The sequence below is a fragment of the Homo sapiens genome, chromosome 9 (genome assembly GCF_000001405.40).
Source record: "Homo sapiens chromosome 9, GRCh38.p14 Primary Assembly".
NCBI lineage: Eukaryota > Metazoa > Chordata > Mammalia > Primates > Hominidae > Homo > Homo sapiens.
In genome coordinates, this window is record NC_000009.12 from 76237619 (window position 1) to 76253776 (window position 16158).

At 40.8% G+C, this 16158-nt stretch overlaps 1 protein-coding gene across 5 annotated transcripts in view; it reads left to right on the forward strand.

Moving 5' to 3' along the window:
- The window catches only part of PCSK5 (proprotein convertase subtilisin/kexin type 5), a 473167-nt gene that overhangs the window by 347810 nt on the left and 109199 nt on the right, over positions 1-16158 (forward strand). For all 5 annotated transcript variants that reach the window (XM_047423454.1, NM_001372043.1, XM_011518769.4 and 2 more), the window contains 2 exons: positions 1341-1547; positions 2998-3066. In XM_047423454.1, coding sequence (XP_047279410.1) covers positions 1341-1547; positions 2998-3066 — 276 coding nt within the window. The remainder of the gene's footprint in view (positions 1-1340; positions 1548-2997; positions 3067-16158) is intronic.

The following is a 16158-nucleotide window of genomic DNA, read 5'->3' on the forward strand; positions in this document are numbered from 1 at the left end:
AAAAAAAAATGGTTGGGCATGGTGGCACGCACCTGTGGTTCTAGCTACTTGAAAGGCTGAGGCGGGAGGATCACTTGAGCCCAGGAGAGGAGGTTGCAGTAAGCTGAGATCATGCCACTGCATTCCAGCCTGGACAACAGAGTGAGACCCTGTCTCAAAAAAAAGAAAATGTATTTCAACTATGGCTTTGAATAAATAAGAAATATTATGATAAATGATGTGAAAGTGCCATGCTCACAGGTAAAAAATAGTTAAATATCGGCAATTTCACGTGGGTCAATTTAACATTATACTGACTCTCAGTTTCTGCACTTGCAACATGGGGTTAGTGCTATCTTTATCCACAAATTCAGCAGCCTTGCATCTTGAAGGTCAATGATTCTGGATCTCCATGTGGTAGATCACATGACGAATGAACCCTAGACCCCGGTTATTCTGAGTAACACAGATCAGCTGCTCTTCAGAGGCAGGGACATGTGGGAAATCTGATTCAGAGAAGATGGATACCCCGAGCACACTCAGCACAAAAACTCCGGGAGGGTGGGAGTAGGAGACCTCTAGATGCATCAGTAGTCATCTTATTGTTGTTTTTGTATTCCTAACGGATTAGAATCCTTTGTAACTAATTGTGATGCTTTGTAACTAGTTAGACTTTTTCATTCCCTCCAGAAACAAATTCCCATGGTCTGTTAGGCTGTGGGCACTGCTGATTCTTTCCTTATAGAATCCAATGTTGACAAAAGTCAGGAACCCTCAGGAATGCACGTAAAAGAGTCAAAGAAGTGTGCTTGGTCTAGTGCTTCAATAAGCTTGTCATTATCGGCATTGGCAGCTCTGCAGAAATTCAGACCTTAGATGGTTAACGCAAGCATGTGACCGATAACAATTCAAAATCATTTTAAAAGATTGCACTTTCATAAAAAGTGTCGATCATTATGCATGTGTTTATTCTCATGGGCTCTCTATAGCCCCCAAGTCTGAGAGCTTTCACAGATACCAAAAGGAGCCTTTGGGAAAGTTAAACACATTTTGAATTGTAGTTAAACACAATGTGAATTGTAGTTATTCACAGAGCATCATTTTGCAATGACATCCCAGATAGTAGTCGCTGTTCACTGAAATATATAAAATATTGGAAAATAATTCCCTGCAAGGAAAACTTCTCAACTACAAGGATGTAGCTATTGCACTTTTCATTAAATCCATCCTTACACCCCTCATCCACTAGGAAAAAAAAGCACTCAGTCGCATCTTTTTAAAATATAATATCTTACATTATAATAGCTTCATGGCTAACTTTGTACATTTTCCCTCTTTTCGTTGCCCCTGTAACTGATCAGACAACTATGGCCGAGAGCACTTCCTGTACCAGGGAGAGTGTGGAGATAGCTGCCCAGAGGGCCACTATGCCACTGAGGGGAACACCTGCCTGCCCTGCCCAGACAACTGTGAGCTTTGCCACAGCGTGCATGTCTGCACAAGATGCATGAAGGGCTACTTCATAGCGCCCACCAACCACACATGCCAGAAGTTAGAGTGTGGACAAGGTAAGCCTGCTCCTGGGCCCTTGCCCAGCACCCGAACATGGGAGGAGGGGCTGCACCCTGGATGTCCTGGAGACTTGAATTGCCTTCCTGGCTTGCATGTCAGCACTTGGGATGATTTTGGGTGACTCCCAACCCTAGTGGGGAGAGAGGTAACTTTCTCTCTCCCTCTCTGTTCACACACCCTTTCTCTGGGTTTCCTCAGATATAATCCAAGGTCATAGGAATGCACTTAAGTGTATAGAAAATTGGCCAGGTGCAGTGGCTCATGCCTGTAATCCCAGCACTTTGGGAGGCTGAGGCAGGTGGATCACTTGAGGCCAGGAGTTCGAGACCAGCCTGGGGGAACACGGTGAAACTCTGTCTCTACTAAACATACAAAAATTAGCCAGGCTTGGTGTTGCATGCCTATAATCCCAGCTACACAGGAGGTTGAGGCAGGAGAATGGCTTGAACCCAGGAGGCAGAGGTTGCAGTGATCCGAGATCACACCACCGCACTCCAGCCTGGGAGACAGAGCAAGACTCCATCTCAAAAAAAAAAAAAAAGAAAAAAAAGAAAAGTAAGAAAGAAAAAGAAAATGATCTTGGCGGGTGGGGGGATTGTGGACAGGATATAGGTGAGAGAAAATAAAATTCGAATCCAAAAGTCTGGGTCAACAGTTTTCTCCTTCCCAATTACTAGACATGAGACCCTAGGCAAAACTCATCTAATTTGCCCATGCCTTGGTGTCTTCATCTGTCAAAGGAAGAGCACAGCATCAAGACAGAGTGGCTTTGAGAAGCCAGTGAGGACCAGCCTAAAACCACTTGAAAATATTAAAATGTTCTGTGAATCGTATGTGTTATTGTTATTGCCCAGTTTCTTATCTTTTATGGGAAGAAGGAAATTAAAAAACAACACTTATAGTTTCGGCTCTCTTCTATGTAAGAATGCCACGGACTGTTATTGCCCTGCTCTGTATAAGAATTATGCCCGGTCTGGTGCTGAAGAGAGCTCCAAGACATTTTTAGCATAATTAAGACACTCAATTCTGTTTCTCCTTAATGTTTATGAATGTAGTAAAAGATTTTAAACTTTTTTAAAAAGTGTTTAGTAGCACAGATAGAAAGAGAAAAAGAACCTGTTCATTTACATACCCAATTCCATTTTCCCAGAAGCAGAGCTGGCTTCTTTAATAAATAAAATCAATGAGCTTGACTTCAAAATGAGCTGCATGGCATATGGTCCAACCTGGTTCTCTTTGTACCCAATCAAGCTGATTCAATCTATTCAATTAATAGAAGGAGATTAAAAAGTAGAAACCACATATATCCTCGAGGACGGTTTTGGGCTTCATAATTGCTCTATGATTTACTTTAAAATAAGCTACACACGAACATATTTTTGTAGCAATTAACGTGTCTCCACTCAATGGAAATGAGTTGTGTTTTTCACTTCTCTGTCTGTGTAGGTGAAGTCCAAGACCCAGACTATGAAGAATGTGTCCCTTGTGAAGAAGGATGTCTGGGATGCAGCTTGGGTATGTCCTCTTCCTTTGTCACCTAAAGAGTTGAAATAGCTAAGTCCTTTTCCACACATCTTCATCCTGTCATTGCCCCAGCAGGCACTCTTGTCATTGCTGTCAGCCTCAGTGACACCATCAACGTCTTAAGTAGGCTTTCTTCAATACAAACAGGATCACTGTGAGGAAATACTTGCTTTTGAAGCAATGAATGGGTTTCTTGTCTTTATGAAACTCAAGTTTAGAAAAGGAGGCCATGGCACCTTTTCCTCTGGTTGTCAATGAGTTGTTGGGGCTTACTGACCAGCAACCGCATTTCAGGTGCCTGAGACTCAGCCTCTCCTTAGCTTCTCAAGGTGACACATTTGGAAGATTAACAGTGAATGAACTCAAGCAAAGAAATGCCTAATTCCTCTAACTCACTTGATGTGTAAAACACAGAAGTTTGTGGGTAGAGGGAGGGGGGGTTTCCTTTATAAAAATGACTCTGTTGGGCTGGGCACAGTGGCTCATGCCTGTAATCCCAGCACTTTGGGAGGCCAAGGTGGGTGGATCACCTGAGGTCAGGAGTTCGAGACCAGCCTGTCCAACATGGTGAAAACCCATCTCTACTAAAAATACAAAAATTAGCTGGATGTGGTAGCAGGCACCTGTAATCCCAGCTATTCGGGAGGCTGAGGCAGGAGAATTGCTTGAACCCAGGAGTCAGAGGTTGCAGTGAGCCAAGATCGTGCCATTGCACTCCAGCCTGGGCGACAGAGCCAGACTCCATCTTAAAACAATAAAAATGAAAATAAAAATGACTCTGTTGCTTGGAGCCTAAGACAACCCTTAGAGAATCAAGCATCGTGGTAACAGTGGAGTTGAATTCCCCATCATGCAATGCAAAGCACTTGTCACTCTCACATGTAACTCTTTAATTCAAGTCAGTGGCTCCTTCTTTCTTCCCTTCTCACATGCCTGCAGGAGATGATGGAGACAGTTTGTTAACCACATGGCACCATTGCATTGGCGATAAAATGAAAAATAGGGAGGTTACTGAATTCCAGGATTGTTTCTTAATGTACGTTTAGGCAACATATAAAAAATAATTAGCATGTGTGATCTTTGAAAGGAAACTCAACTGAAAAGTTCATGGAATAATTTGTCTTCATGGAACTTCCATGAAGCCCTGGGATTGGTTGACTAATCAACCACTGAAGCTTCTAAAACTTCAACGTGGGCACAAATCACCTGGGGAATTTGTTGAAATGCAGATTCTGATTCACTGATCTAAGGTGGGCCTGAGGATTTGTGTTTCTGACAAGTTGCCCAGTGAGGCTAATGCTGTTCTATAGAACACTCATGAAGTTACTAGGGGTAAGATTGTGCCAGAATAAAGCAGACTTTTTATTTGCCTTACCCAATGGATTTTCTTAATTTTTTTCTTACTAATACATAATAGTTTTACATATTTAGGGGATACATGTGATACTTTGATATTTGCATATGATGTGTGATGATCAAGTCAGGGTAACTGGTATATCATCACCTCACACATTTATCATTTCGTTGTGCTAGGAATATTCTAAATCTTCTCTTTGAGCTAATTTGAAATTAATACTTAAATATTATATATGAATTATAATTTATATTGTGGCTATCACCACCACTCTTTGCCTTAAATGGAAAAGATACATTTTCTATAATATCTGTAACTAGAAAATACAGTTTCTGGAAGCTTAAATACCATTGCCCCATTATCTTCCACTATAAAATGATGCTTATATTACTGGATAATAAAATCTCATAATAAAGTTAATAAACACTTAAGAAGAAGATAAAATTTAGAGTCAGATATTTAAGGGTAAAATGCTAATTACCTGGGAAGCAAAAAATAAACCTAGGCATAAATAATAAAAGTACTGAAGTAAAAAACTATAAGCAAATTCCAGTGTCTGTCTCATGTGAAGTGATAGAAGATGAGTTTGCACAGAGCAATGATGAATGTTTTGATTATCTTGATTTCACTGTTTGCCCATTTCAGATGTATTTTCCCATTAAGTTTCACACCCCAGCTAATTTCTGTGGTCTTCTCTGGCATCTTTGCTGTTGTGTGTTGTGTGCCCATACTAGCATCTTTGTGCATCTTGGAGGCGGGTTGTGTGTAATCTAAAATCTGAGGTTTGGGCTCTCTTGGCTCTGCTCAGTGATGAGAGTGGGGCAAGTCTACCCAGCAAGATACACATAGAGAAAAGAAGATCTTCCTTCCATAGCTTCAAGACACCTTGACAGGAATGTATGAATGTGTGTGAACTCCTTCAGGTTCAGTGAGGATCTTATCATGGAGGTGGGAACAGTGACAAGAAAACCATGGTCACTAGGTGTTCGCATTGGCCTCATTCTCCACTTAGCTGACCCAGCTAAAGATGAGACCAAGGGGAAGTCACTGGAAATGGACTCCACAGCAGACACTGACCCTCTGGGGACTCAAAATCCAAAAGACTCACCTTGCAAAAAAAGATAGATTAGGAAGTTTGATTTACTTGATTTACTTTACAAAGCACTATTAAGCTCTTCAGTCCATTCATTACTTAAGAAACTTTGTCTACTGTGTGCTGAGTGCTCGCCTTGATGGGGAGAATTTCAAAGGTGATATGGCTGTGATCCTACTATAAGGGATAGCAGGATCTGTCCCAAGTGATACACCTGGAATGAAACCTCTTAGAAGACAACCTGCCAGAGTAGAGACAGGTATAAAGTGCAGTGACACCACCAGAAAGGGTGACAAGACCATTCTAAATACCTCTAATTTCTCATTTTAAATTCTAAAATGCCCTTAATTTATAATATCTGTATGTATTGGGCCTCATTTATTCTTGGATAGACTTGGCTGAACCCAATTGTCACCTTATTTCTGAACCCTTTGTTGATCTCTCCAATAGAATAAATTCTCCCTTTTCTAGTTTCCCTTTGTTAGGCCAGCGAGAATACCTTTTAGAGGTGACTAGTGTAATATTTGCTATGTATACACCTTTCTGCCTGGACACTAAACTACCTGAGAACAAGCTCTTTGACTTATATGCTCTGAACTAGCAGAGTGCCCAGGACATAATAAATATGAATTAATGCATGAATGTTTGTTGAATTGAATTTGAGAATTGCCCAAATTCAAAGCAGAGATGAATGGCTTAGGATACCCAGGGTCTTAGATTTGCTGTTTTCTCTAATCAAACTTTGTTTATGAACCAAGAAGAAGAAAAAATAAACCATACAATACAAAAATAAATGATTTTGGCCAAGTGCAATGGCTCACGCCTATAATTCCAGCACTTTGAAAGGCCAAGGTGGGCAGATCACTTGAGCCCAGGAGTTTGAGACCAGTCTGGGAAGCATGGTGAAACCCTGTCTCTACAACAAAATACAGAAAACTAGCCAAGTGTGATGGCATGCACCTGTGGTCCCAGCTACTCAGGAAGTTGAGGTGGGAGGATCACCTGAGCCTGGGAAGTCAAGGCTGCAGTGAGCCGTATTCATGCCACTGCACTCCAGCCTGGGCAACAGAGCAAGATCCTTTCTCTAAATAAATAAATATTTAAAATTAAAAAATGATTTTTCATGAACTATTAGAACTATAAGGAAGCTTTGATCAGACCATGGTTTAAGTTTTATAATTTTAAAGAGATAAATACAAACTTGAAAAATTTGAATAATTTACTATAGATTTCCCCAAGATTCCTCCTGTGAGAAGGGACATCATCCTTTGGAGAGAACTTAACTTTATTCCATTTTAATAATGTAGATTCACCTCTGGGCCAGGTCTAGACGATCTCTAGGGGAGTCAGAGAAAAGTGAAATCAGTTATTGTGAGACATTTCATCTACATTATGTAATAATTAGCTGTTGAAAATCCTGGGGTTTTTTTTTTTTTTTTTTAGCTTTGTATTCCTTTCCAGCTATTTAGTGAACATTAATATCTATCTTTTATACCTAACAAAAAAAACCCTCAAATTCCAGATTAACTAGAATCTCATCTATTTCCTGGGTGGACCTAGCTATCTGTTATTCCAAGGAAAGATTACCAAAAAGGGGGCAGAAAACTAAACTCATGACCAAAAATGATTGTTTCGTCTGGAAGAAAGTGTTGAATTAAATACTTTGAGACGAAATAAGGATTTTTTAAATTATGAGATTCGATTTCTCTTCTTTGTCAAGTTGTAAACAAATAGATAACATTTTATATAATACTATTCTGCTCCAAGAATATTTGATGTCAATTCTTTCTCTTTCTAACCAGTATCCTGAATGGAAATTTTAACTACTAAGATAAATCTAAGTTTTAAATTATATTTCTTCACTAGCTGAGGATAGAAGTAAATGGAGTAACTTTTACCTAATGTTTTGAGGCACATTTTTTGTTTGTTTGTTTGTTTTAATTTAGGGAATGTAGCAATAGCTATGACTCTTAACTATAACCTGAGATCCAGACATCTTAGATTATATACCATTGACTTGATGATTGATTTTAATCAAATTACATAAGTTGTTCTTACTTTTCTACCTCATCAATAAATATAGTGGTTAATGTGCCCTTGTTTTAACTTAGAAAGAGATCATGAAAATGTATCGGTATTTGCAGATTGAAATGGCTGTCTCCACTCTTGGGATAAAACATATCCAAATTTAAAAATTGTAAGGAATTGCAAAAAAAAGAGAAAGGCTATATAAATTCACTGCCAAATAAGGGGACAAATATATGCACCAAAAGGATTTTTTAAAAAAAGAGAACCTCTGGGCACTGAAGTGTTCAAGGAAGGCTTTTAAGAAGATGGGAGTTGAGGTGAACATTAGTGTTTACATAGAATTTAGACAGATAAGAGAGAAGAGCTGTACTATAGGGGGTCTTTATATTTGGACAATAGCAGGAAAAAAAGGCTTCTGCTATGGATTTTGAGACACCAAGTATACTAATTTTGCAGAAGGAATGAGGAAATATAAGGAAATAGGCAAAGAGAAGTTTGGGGAAGTGGTTGAAAACAAAATCTTGAATTCCAGACTAATGAGGTTAAAAGTATTCTGTGACTAAAAGAGAATCATTGAAGGTTCTTCTAAAAACAGAAGTGGGAGAGTGGGTGTCTTGAAGGGGGTATTAAGAAGTTAATTTGGTTATTGCGTTAACTGTGTTCAGGATAATTAAAGGGAGAGAGGCTTTAGTAGATAAACCAGCCAGAAGACTATTTCAGAAATCCAGATATAAAATAAAGCAGACAAATCTAAAGTGATAGCCAGGAAATTATGAGGACAGAGGGAGAGATGTTTTTAAAAATCACATGAAACAAATGGCCTTCAAGCATAAGAAAAAGATGCTTGTTCACTGTATGGGAAATGCAAATTAAAACTGTGAGAGGCCTGGCGCAGTGGCTCACGCCTGTAATCCCAGCACTTTGTACTTTGGGAGGCCGAGGCGGGCAGATCACTTGAGTTCAGGAGTTTGAGACCATCCTGGACAACATGGTGAAACCCCCGTCTCTACTAAAAATACAAAAATTAGCTGAACATGATGGCTCAAACCTGTAGTCCCAACTACTTGGGAGGCTGAGGCAGGAGAATCGCTTGAACCCAGGAGACAGAAGTTGCAGTGAGCTGAGATTGCGCCACTGCACTCCACCCTGGGCGACAGAGCGAGATTCCATCTCAAAAAAAAAAAAAAAAAAAAAAAAAACTACCGTGAGATACCATTTCTAATTTATCAGACTGGCAAAAATTCAAAAGCTTACAAGTTCTATAGGCAAGGTTGTAGGAAAGCAATCACCACTGTTATTGCTTCCTGGTGGGAAGACAAAATGGTACAATGGCTGTTGAAGGAAATTTGGCAGTATAACACAACTCCATATGCATTTACCCTTGGACCCCACAACACCCCTTCTAGGAATTTACCCTGGTGACATACATCCTCAGATTCAAAACAGCATATTCACCATGCTATTTATTGTGGTGTTACTTGTGGTAGTAAACTATCAGAAACAACCTAAATGCTTGTCCATGGAAGACTGGTTGAATGAATGGGGTACATATACACAATAGAGCACTCTGCAGCTACCAAAAGAGCAAAGACGATCCGTATGAACTGATGGTGATTTCATGACACACTGTTACATGGAAGGCAAGGCACAAAGGTACACATAGTATGCTACTATTACCAGGGGTCCTTGCTCCCAGAGCTCCTAAGATGGTGGCAGGCCACTTCCAAAATGGCGGCAGGCCGCTTCCAAAATGGTTGCAAGCCTCATGTTCTCTGACCTGAGGTTCTTGGCCTCATGGATTCCAAGGAACGGAATCTTGCGCCATGAGGTGAGTGTTATAGCTCTATTAGAAGCTGTGGGTCACGGAAGAGAACCGTGGAACCCAGTGACTAGTGTTCAGCTCGATTAGGATGAACCTAGGCACTTAGTCATGCAGGAACAATGGCAAGCCTTTAGCCAGATCAGGAGTGGCAATGGGCACCTCGCTGGATCAGGAGCACAGTGGACACCCTGCCTGATCTGGAGGGATGGAAGTCAGCGGCAGGTCTGTGACAGCGGCAAACAGCAGTGGTGGACGCGAGCGAAACTTCAGCTTGAGCCGTAACAAACATGGACCAGAAGAGTGCAGTTGCAAGATTTAATAGAGTGAAATAGAGTGGAAACAGAGCTCCCATATAAAGGGAGGGGACCCAAAGAGTGTAGCCGTTGCTGGCTGGAATGCCTGGGTTTATATCCTGATCATTGTCCCTCCCTCTGTGCTCTCAGGGGATAGATGATTGGCTATTTCTTTAACTCCTGTCTTTGCCTAATTAGCATTTTAGTGAGCTCTCTGATTGGTCCGGTGTGAGCTAAGTTGCAAGCCCCATGTTTAAAGGTGGATGAAGTCACCTTCCCAGCTAGGCTTAGGGATTCTTAGTCAGCCTAGGAAATCCAGCTAGTCCTGTCTCTCACTACCTTTGTGGTAAGAAAATGGTGAGATAAAATGTATGAGTGTATTTACATTTTTATTTACTTTGGCAAAGAGAAAAAAGATAACTAAGAAACTAATGAAAGTGGTTACCTATAGAGAAAGGTAAAGGAGATGGGCAGGACTTCACTAGCTATATCTTTTTATTTTTTAATCTTTTTTTTTTTGAGACAGAGTCTCGCCCTGTTGCCCAGGCTGGAGTGCAACGGCGTGATCTTGGCTCACTGCAACCTCCGCCTCCCAGGTTCAAGCAATTCTCCTGCCTCAGCCTCCCAAGTAGCTGGGATTACAGGCACCTGCCACCACACCTGACTAATTTTTTGTATTTTTAGTAGAGATGGAGTTTCACCATGTTGGCCAGGCTGGTCTTGAACTCCTGACCTCGTGGTCCGCCAGCCTCAGCCTCCCAAATTGCTGGGATTACAGGCATGAGCCACCGCTCCCGACCTTAATCTTTTTTAAAAAAATTTTTTTTTAAGAGATGGGGTCGCACTATACTTACCAGGCTGGTCTTGAACTCCTGGCCTCAAGCAATCCTCCCATTTCGGCCTCACAAAGTGCTAGGATTACAGGCATGATCTACCGCACCCAACCTTTAGCTGTATCTTTCTAGTTATGATTTGAACCAGATAAATATTTTACATATTCATAACAAATGACATAGTAAGTAGTGTGAATGGACTCCCACTAGCCAAATGTAGGACAATTAGAGCATTTTTTTTTAAATGGGTGATAATTCCAACTCAATTAATATTTTAAATCCATGCATCAATAGTGAAGAAAAAGGAAGAGAGAGGGGAATAGAATAAAAGGGAAAGCTCTTTTTTACAGAAACAGTTCAGCTGTCATGTATTTCAGGAAAGAATTAGGAAATCATCATTTTGCATCCCCTAGTATATGAACCCAAAGGAGAATCATCAAATCATAAGTAGATATAAACACACTGGGTGGAAAGTTGCTATGGAACAAGATCATCACACAGACTCAAAGTACTACTACAATTAATAGTTAATTACAATGAAGAGATTTGCTGGTTACCAACTTAAACAAGTTATTATACATAACATCACTATTATCAGTTCCATAAACCTGACATTATATGTCTCCTGATGTGGTACTCAAGTAGATAATATCACCTCATATTCTTTTTGTTTTGTTGTTTTGTTTTGAGACAGGGTCCCCCTGTCATCCAGGTTTGAGTGCAGTGGCTTGATCATGGCTCCTGAGCTCAAGTGATCCTCCCCGCTCAGACTCCCAAGTTCCTGGGACTACAGGCATGCACTATTAGCCTGGACTAATTTATTTTTTGTAGAGGTGGGGTCTAGCTATGTTGCCCAGGCTAGTCTCAAACTCCTGGCCTCAAGCAGTCCTCCCACCTTGGCCTCCCAAAGTACTGGGATTACAGGTGTGAGCCACCGTACCCAACCCTCACCTCGTATTCTTGACAAAAGTGTCTAGATCACTGATTTTCAACTGGAGGCAATTATGCTTCCATGAAACACTTGTCGATGTTTCAGACAGTTTTGATTGTCGTGACTGGAAGGTTGTTACTTGCATCTGGTGGATAGAGGTTGAGGATGCTACTAAATATTCTATGATGCACAGGACTGCTCCCCCACAACAAAGAAATCCCTAGTCCAAAATGTCAATAATGCTGAGGTCAAGAAAAATCGTATTTAGCCTCAAGATAATCACAAGATAAATCAAGAATGTGGGGTATCTATAAGACAACTGGCCTGTACTTGGAAAGAAAATTCAATATTAGGGGAAAAGTGAAAATTAGGGAATTAAAAAAATAAAGAGATAAAACAATCAAGAAAATGCAGAAGTATTTTTATTTTTATTTTGAGACAGTGCTCTATGTCTGAAGTGCTCTGTCAGCAGAAAGGACTTAGAAGCTACAATACCCCAGCAGCAGTAAACACAAGTGCCTTGATTGTGGTTTCTAATACCATTCTCCAATAAACAATACCAAGGCTCCTTAGAGAATTGGCTGATTTGGGGACTGGGACAGGAAATAAACAGGATGAGCCTGCAGCATCTTGTAATGACAGAATGTAGGAGGATAGAAAGGGGTATAGCTCAGAGGTAAAGCATTTGACTGCAGAAAGTAAGGAGGTGCTCAAAGGAAAAAATCCACAATGATGGAAATATGTCAAAGGGACACAAGAGCCAACTGAAGAGCTCTCACTGGCCTAAGCTGGAACAATTTGGGCAATAATATAGATAGAATGGTATTAGATTATAACCCAAAGAATAAAATAAGTATCCATGAGTTCATACAAATATAAATAAATGGTGGATAAGTAAATAGGAAGGAGGCGACAAATCTTTCATGCAAAAGAATACCAAATAACTTATTTAAATATTCCTCTTTTAAGAAAGTGAAGGCCAGGCACGGTGGCTCACACCTGTAATCCCAGCACTTTAGGAGGCTGAGGCAGGCAGATCATAAGGTCAAGAGATCGAGACCATCCTGGCCAACATGGTGAAACCCTGTCTCTAAAAATACAAAAATTAGCTGGGCGTGGTGGTGCGTGCTTGTAGTCCCAGCTACTCAGGAGGCTGAGCCAGGAGAATCACTTGAACCTGGGAGGCAGAGGTTGCAGTGAGCCGAGATGGCACTGCTGCTCCCCAGCCTGGCGACAGAGTGAGACTCTGTCTCAAAATAAGAAAGAAAGTGGAGCATCACTCCCTACTACTTCTTACCTGTGACTTTTATCCAAGAGCACAGTATGGAAAGGGCAGGGGCAGAAGGACTTTACAGTGTAGAAAGCTGACAAACACTACGTCATACATGTGATAAAGGGAAACATCACCAGGGATAAATCATATGGATTGAATGTACTTTTGATACAATGTAATGAGAACCACTTTACCTCTATAGTCTTTCTGCCAAAAAACCATGACCCCAGTCTAGTAGTGAAGAAAATATCAGACAAATCCCAACGGAGGGACATTTTGTAAAATACCCAATTAATACTCAAAACTGTCCAGTTCATTAAACAAGTCAAGTCTGAGAAACTGTCACAGCCGAAAGGAGCCTAAGGAGATATGATGAGTAAATGTAATGTGGCATCTCAGGTGGGATTCTGAAACAGAGAAAAGACACTAGGTAAAAACTAAAGAAAGCTGAATAAATTACGGACTTTACGTTAGTAATAACCACATTATAATAAAAATAAAGGGCCTGATAGAGCTATTTGGGGTTTTAGAAATGTCCTATATCTTGATTGTTGGAGTGATTGCATGACTATAAGCATTTGCCAAAATTTATAGAACTGTACACATAAAAAGGGCAAATGTTACTCTATGAAAATTGTATTTCAATCAATCTGGCTTGAAAAGTAGTCCAAGCATGGTAGCTCAGACCTGTAATCCCAACACTTTGGGAGGCCAAGACAGGAGGATGGCTTCAGGCCAGGAGTTCGAGACCAGCCTGGGCAACATAGCCAGATACCATTTGTACACAAAATTTAAAAATTGTCAAGGTGTGGTGTGCATGGCTCTAGTTCTAGCTGCTTGGGATACTGAGGTGGGAGGAAGACTTAAGCCCAGGAGTTCAAAGCGGCAGTGAGCTATGATCACGCCACTGCACTCTAGCCTGGGTGACTGAGTTAGACCCCATCTCTAAAGAAAGAAAGAAGGCCAGGCGCGGTGGCTCACGCCTGTAATCCCAGCACTTTGGGAGGCCAAGGCGGGTGGATCATGAGGTCAGAAGTTCAAGACCAGCCTGGCCAAGATGGTGAAACCCCGTCTCTATTAAAAATACAAAAAAATTAGCTGGGCGTGGTGGCACGCACCTGTAATCCCAGCTACTCTGGAGGCTGAGACGGAGAATTGCTTAAACCTGGAGGGACGGAGCTTGCAGTGAGCCGAGATTGTGCCACTGCACTCCAGCCTGGGTGACAGAGCGAGACTCCGTCTCAAAAAAAAAAAAAAAAAGACAGAAAGAAAAAGAAAAGTACTTCAACATTAGAATGATTCCATTAATATTCTCTTTGCTGATTCTGTATAATACAGTAACTGAATTGCTAGCATTTATTGAATACTTACTAATGTGCCAGGTGCTGTACTAAGTTTTTTAAGTATATTACCTGACTTAACTCTATGGAATAGATATAATAATTATTGTTCTCATTTTTCAGCTGAAGACATAAAGGTCAGAACATTTAGAAATGTGGATAAGTTCACTAGGCTGGTAACTAGTAGAATCAGGACTTGACCCTGAATAGCCCCAGACCAAAACTCATGTATTTTATTACATTCCAATCATACTAGCTAATGTTCTTCCCTTCTGATTCTAGAGCAGAATATTATGCTTTTTTGCAATTATAAAAAGATAAAAGAGGCCGGGCGTGGTGGCTCACACCTGTAATCCCAGCACTTTGGGAGGCCGAGGTGGGTGGATCCCAAGGTCAGGAGATCGAGACCATCCTCGCTAACACGGTGAAACCCCGTCTCTACTAAAAATACAAAAACTTAGCCGGGCATGGTGGCGGGGTGCCTGTAGTCCCAGCTACTCGGGAGGCTGAGTCAGGAGAAAGGCGTGAACCTGGGAGGCGGAGCTTGCAGTGAGCCGCGATCGCGTGCCCCTGCACTCCAGCCTGTGTGACAGAAGCGAGACTCCGTCTCAGAAAAAATAATAATAATAATAATAAAAATAAGATAAAGAAAGGCTTCTTTTCTGCCCCTTTCCTCAGTCCTTCATACTAAAGCCATCATATTTAGTTTTGGCTACATCTTCATGCCCAATGACATAACTGACTCAACCAGTCAAACAGTGACACTGTTCTTCATAGTCATGCAAATTAATTTGGGTTCACTGCTCATCTAGAGCTGTCAGCCTTCAAGGCCTACATCTGGAAGGTTCTGAGATGGGATTGAGCACACAGGGGAGAGCTCTACAGCAGCAAGACTGAGAGAGTCAGTGAGCATATTTTCAGTTAGCCGTGGCATCCTCCCCACCACTTTACCTTCCTTCAGTTTCGTTTACCTCTACAAAGGACCTTCGTGCTCTGTGGGAAAGTGGGTTCTATTATAAGTATGTGATTGGCAGAAGACACCCTAACCCTTTTCATCTCAACCCACATTAAATTCAAGCTTCAAATCTAGGACTTAGAGAACCAACCTCATTTACTCTTACTACTCCATCTTTCCATAGGAAGTGAGACCCTAGTTCATAGAAAAAGTATTGGCGATATGGAAGACATGAAGTTCACTCTTTAATTTGCTATTGCAGCAGATATGCAAGGTTTTCAAGTTAAATACTGTGGACATTGACTGCTATTTATTTCACTTTTACTCAGATCTCTCACTGGAACATTTCCACATACTTTCAGAGGCACAAGAACGGTGTCAAACCATTTTGGTACCTTCCAAACCAAATATATTGCAGAATAAAATATATACCAGCAGTTTGTCTCCTTTAAATTGGAAGGAAGTGGCTGATTGTAAAACCGCTGCTCAGCATTCATAAAGCATCGTCTTTTCAGGGACCTAGTGCATCATCCACTGTGTAGCCAACCTTAGTGCATGACCCAGGGAGTTACTGACCATCGTCTCCATGGGCAGATGGGGAAGGGACATTCAGGATGCCTCTTCTTCTTCTTCTTTTTTTTTTTTTAAGGCCAAACTCAGAGCCAGCTTCAGAGGAAGGTTTAGAATATAAATGCAATGTCAATAGTCTTCTGAAGATAAGAGAAACAAGCTCCATTAAACAGTTCTGTCTTTAAAAAAATTATAAACTGACTGTTTCTATTTTGTATTCATTAGAGCCTCCCTGCCCCCTCATTGTCTAAATGATACCTCATTTCACAGATGGGTACTAAGAAGACATAAAACCTTTAAAAAAGAGAACACAAAGTTGGAAGAACTTGCAGACATTGTGCAGTTTCATTGTCCCTTACTCATCCTGGCTTTCTTCATTGATTCATTTGGCACATATTTATTGTGTACTTTTGTGCTTTCTGCTTTCCTATCACTTGTTCCGTTTATTCCACATATAATAGGACTGTATAGCCTAATATTTATCAAGCATCACCAGGCTACACGCTTAATGTACGTGATGTGTTTTCACATCTGCAACCCAACAATTTTTACATATGGGGAAACTGAGGGTTAGAGAAATGTTGAAATGTG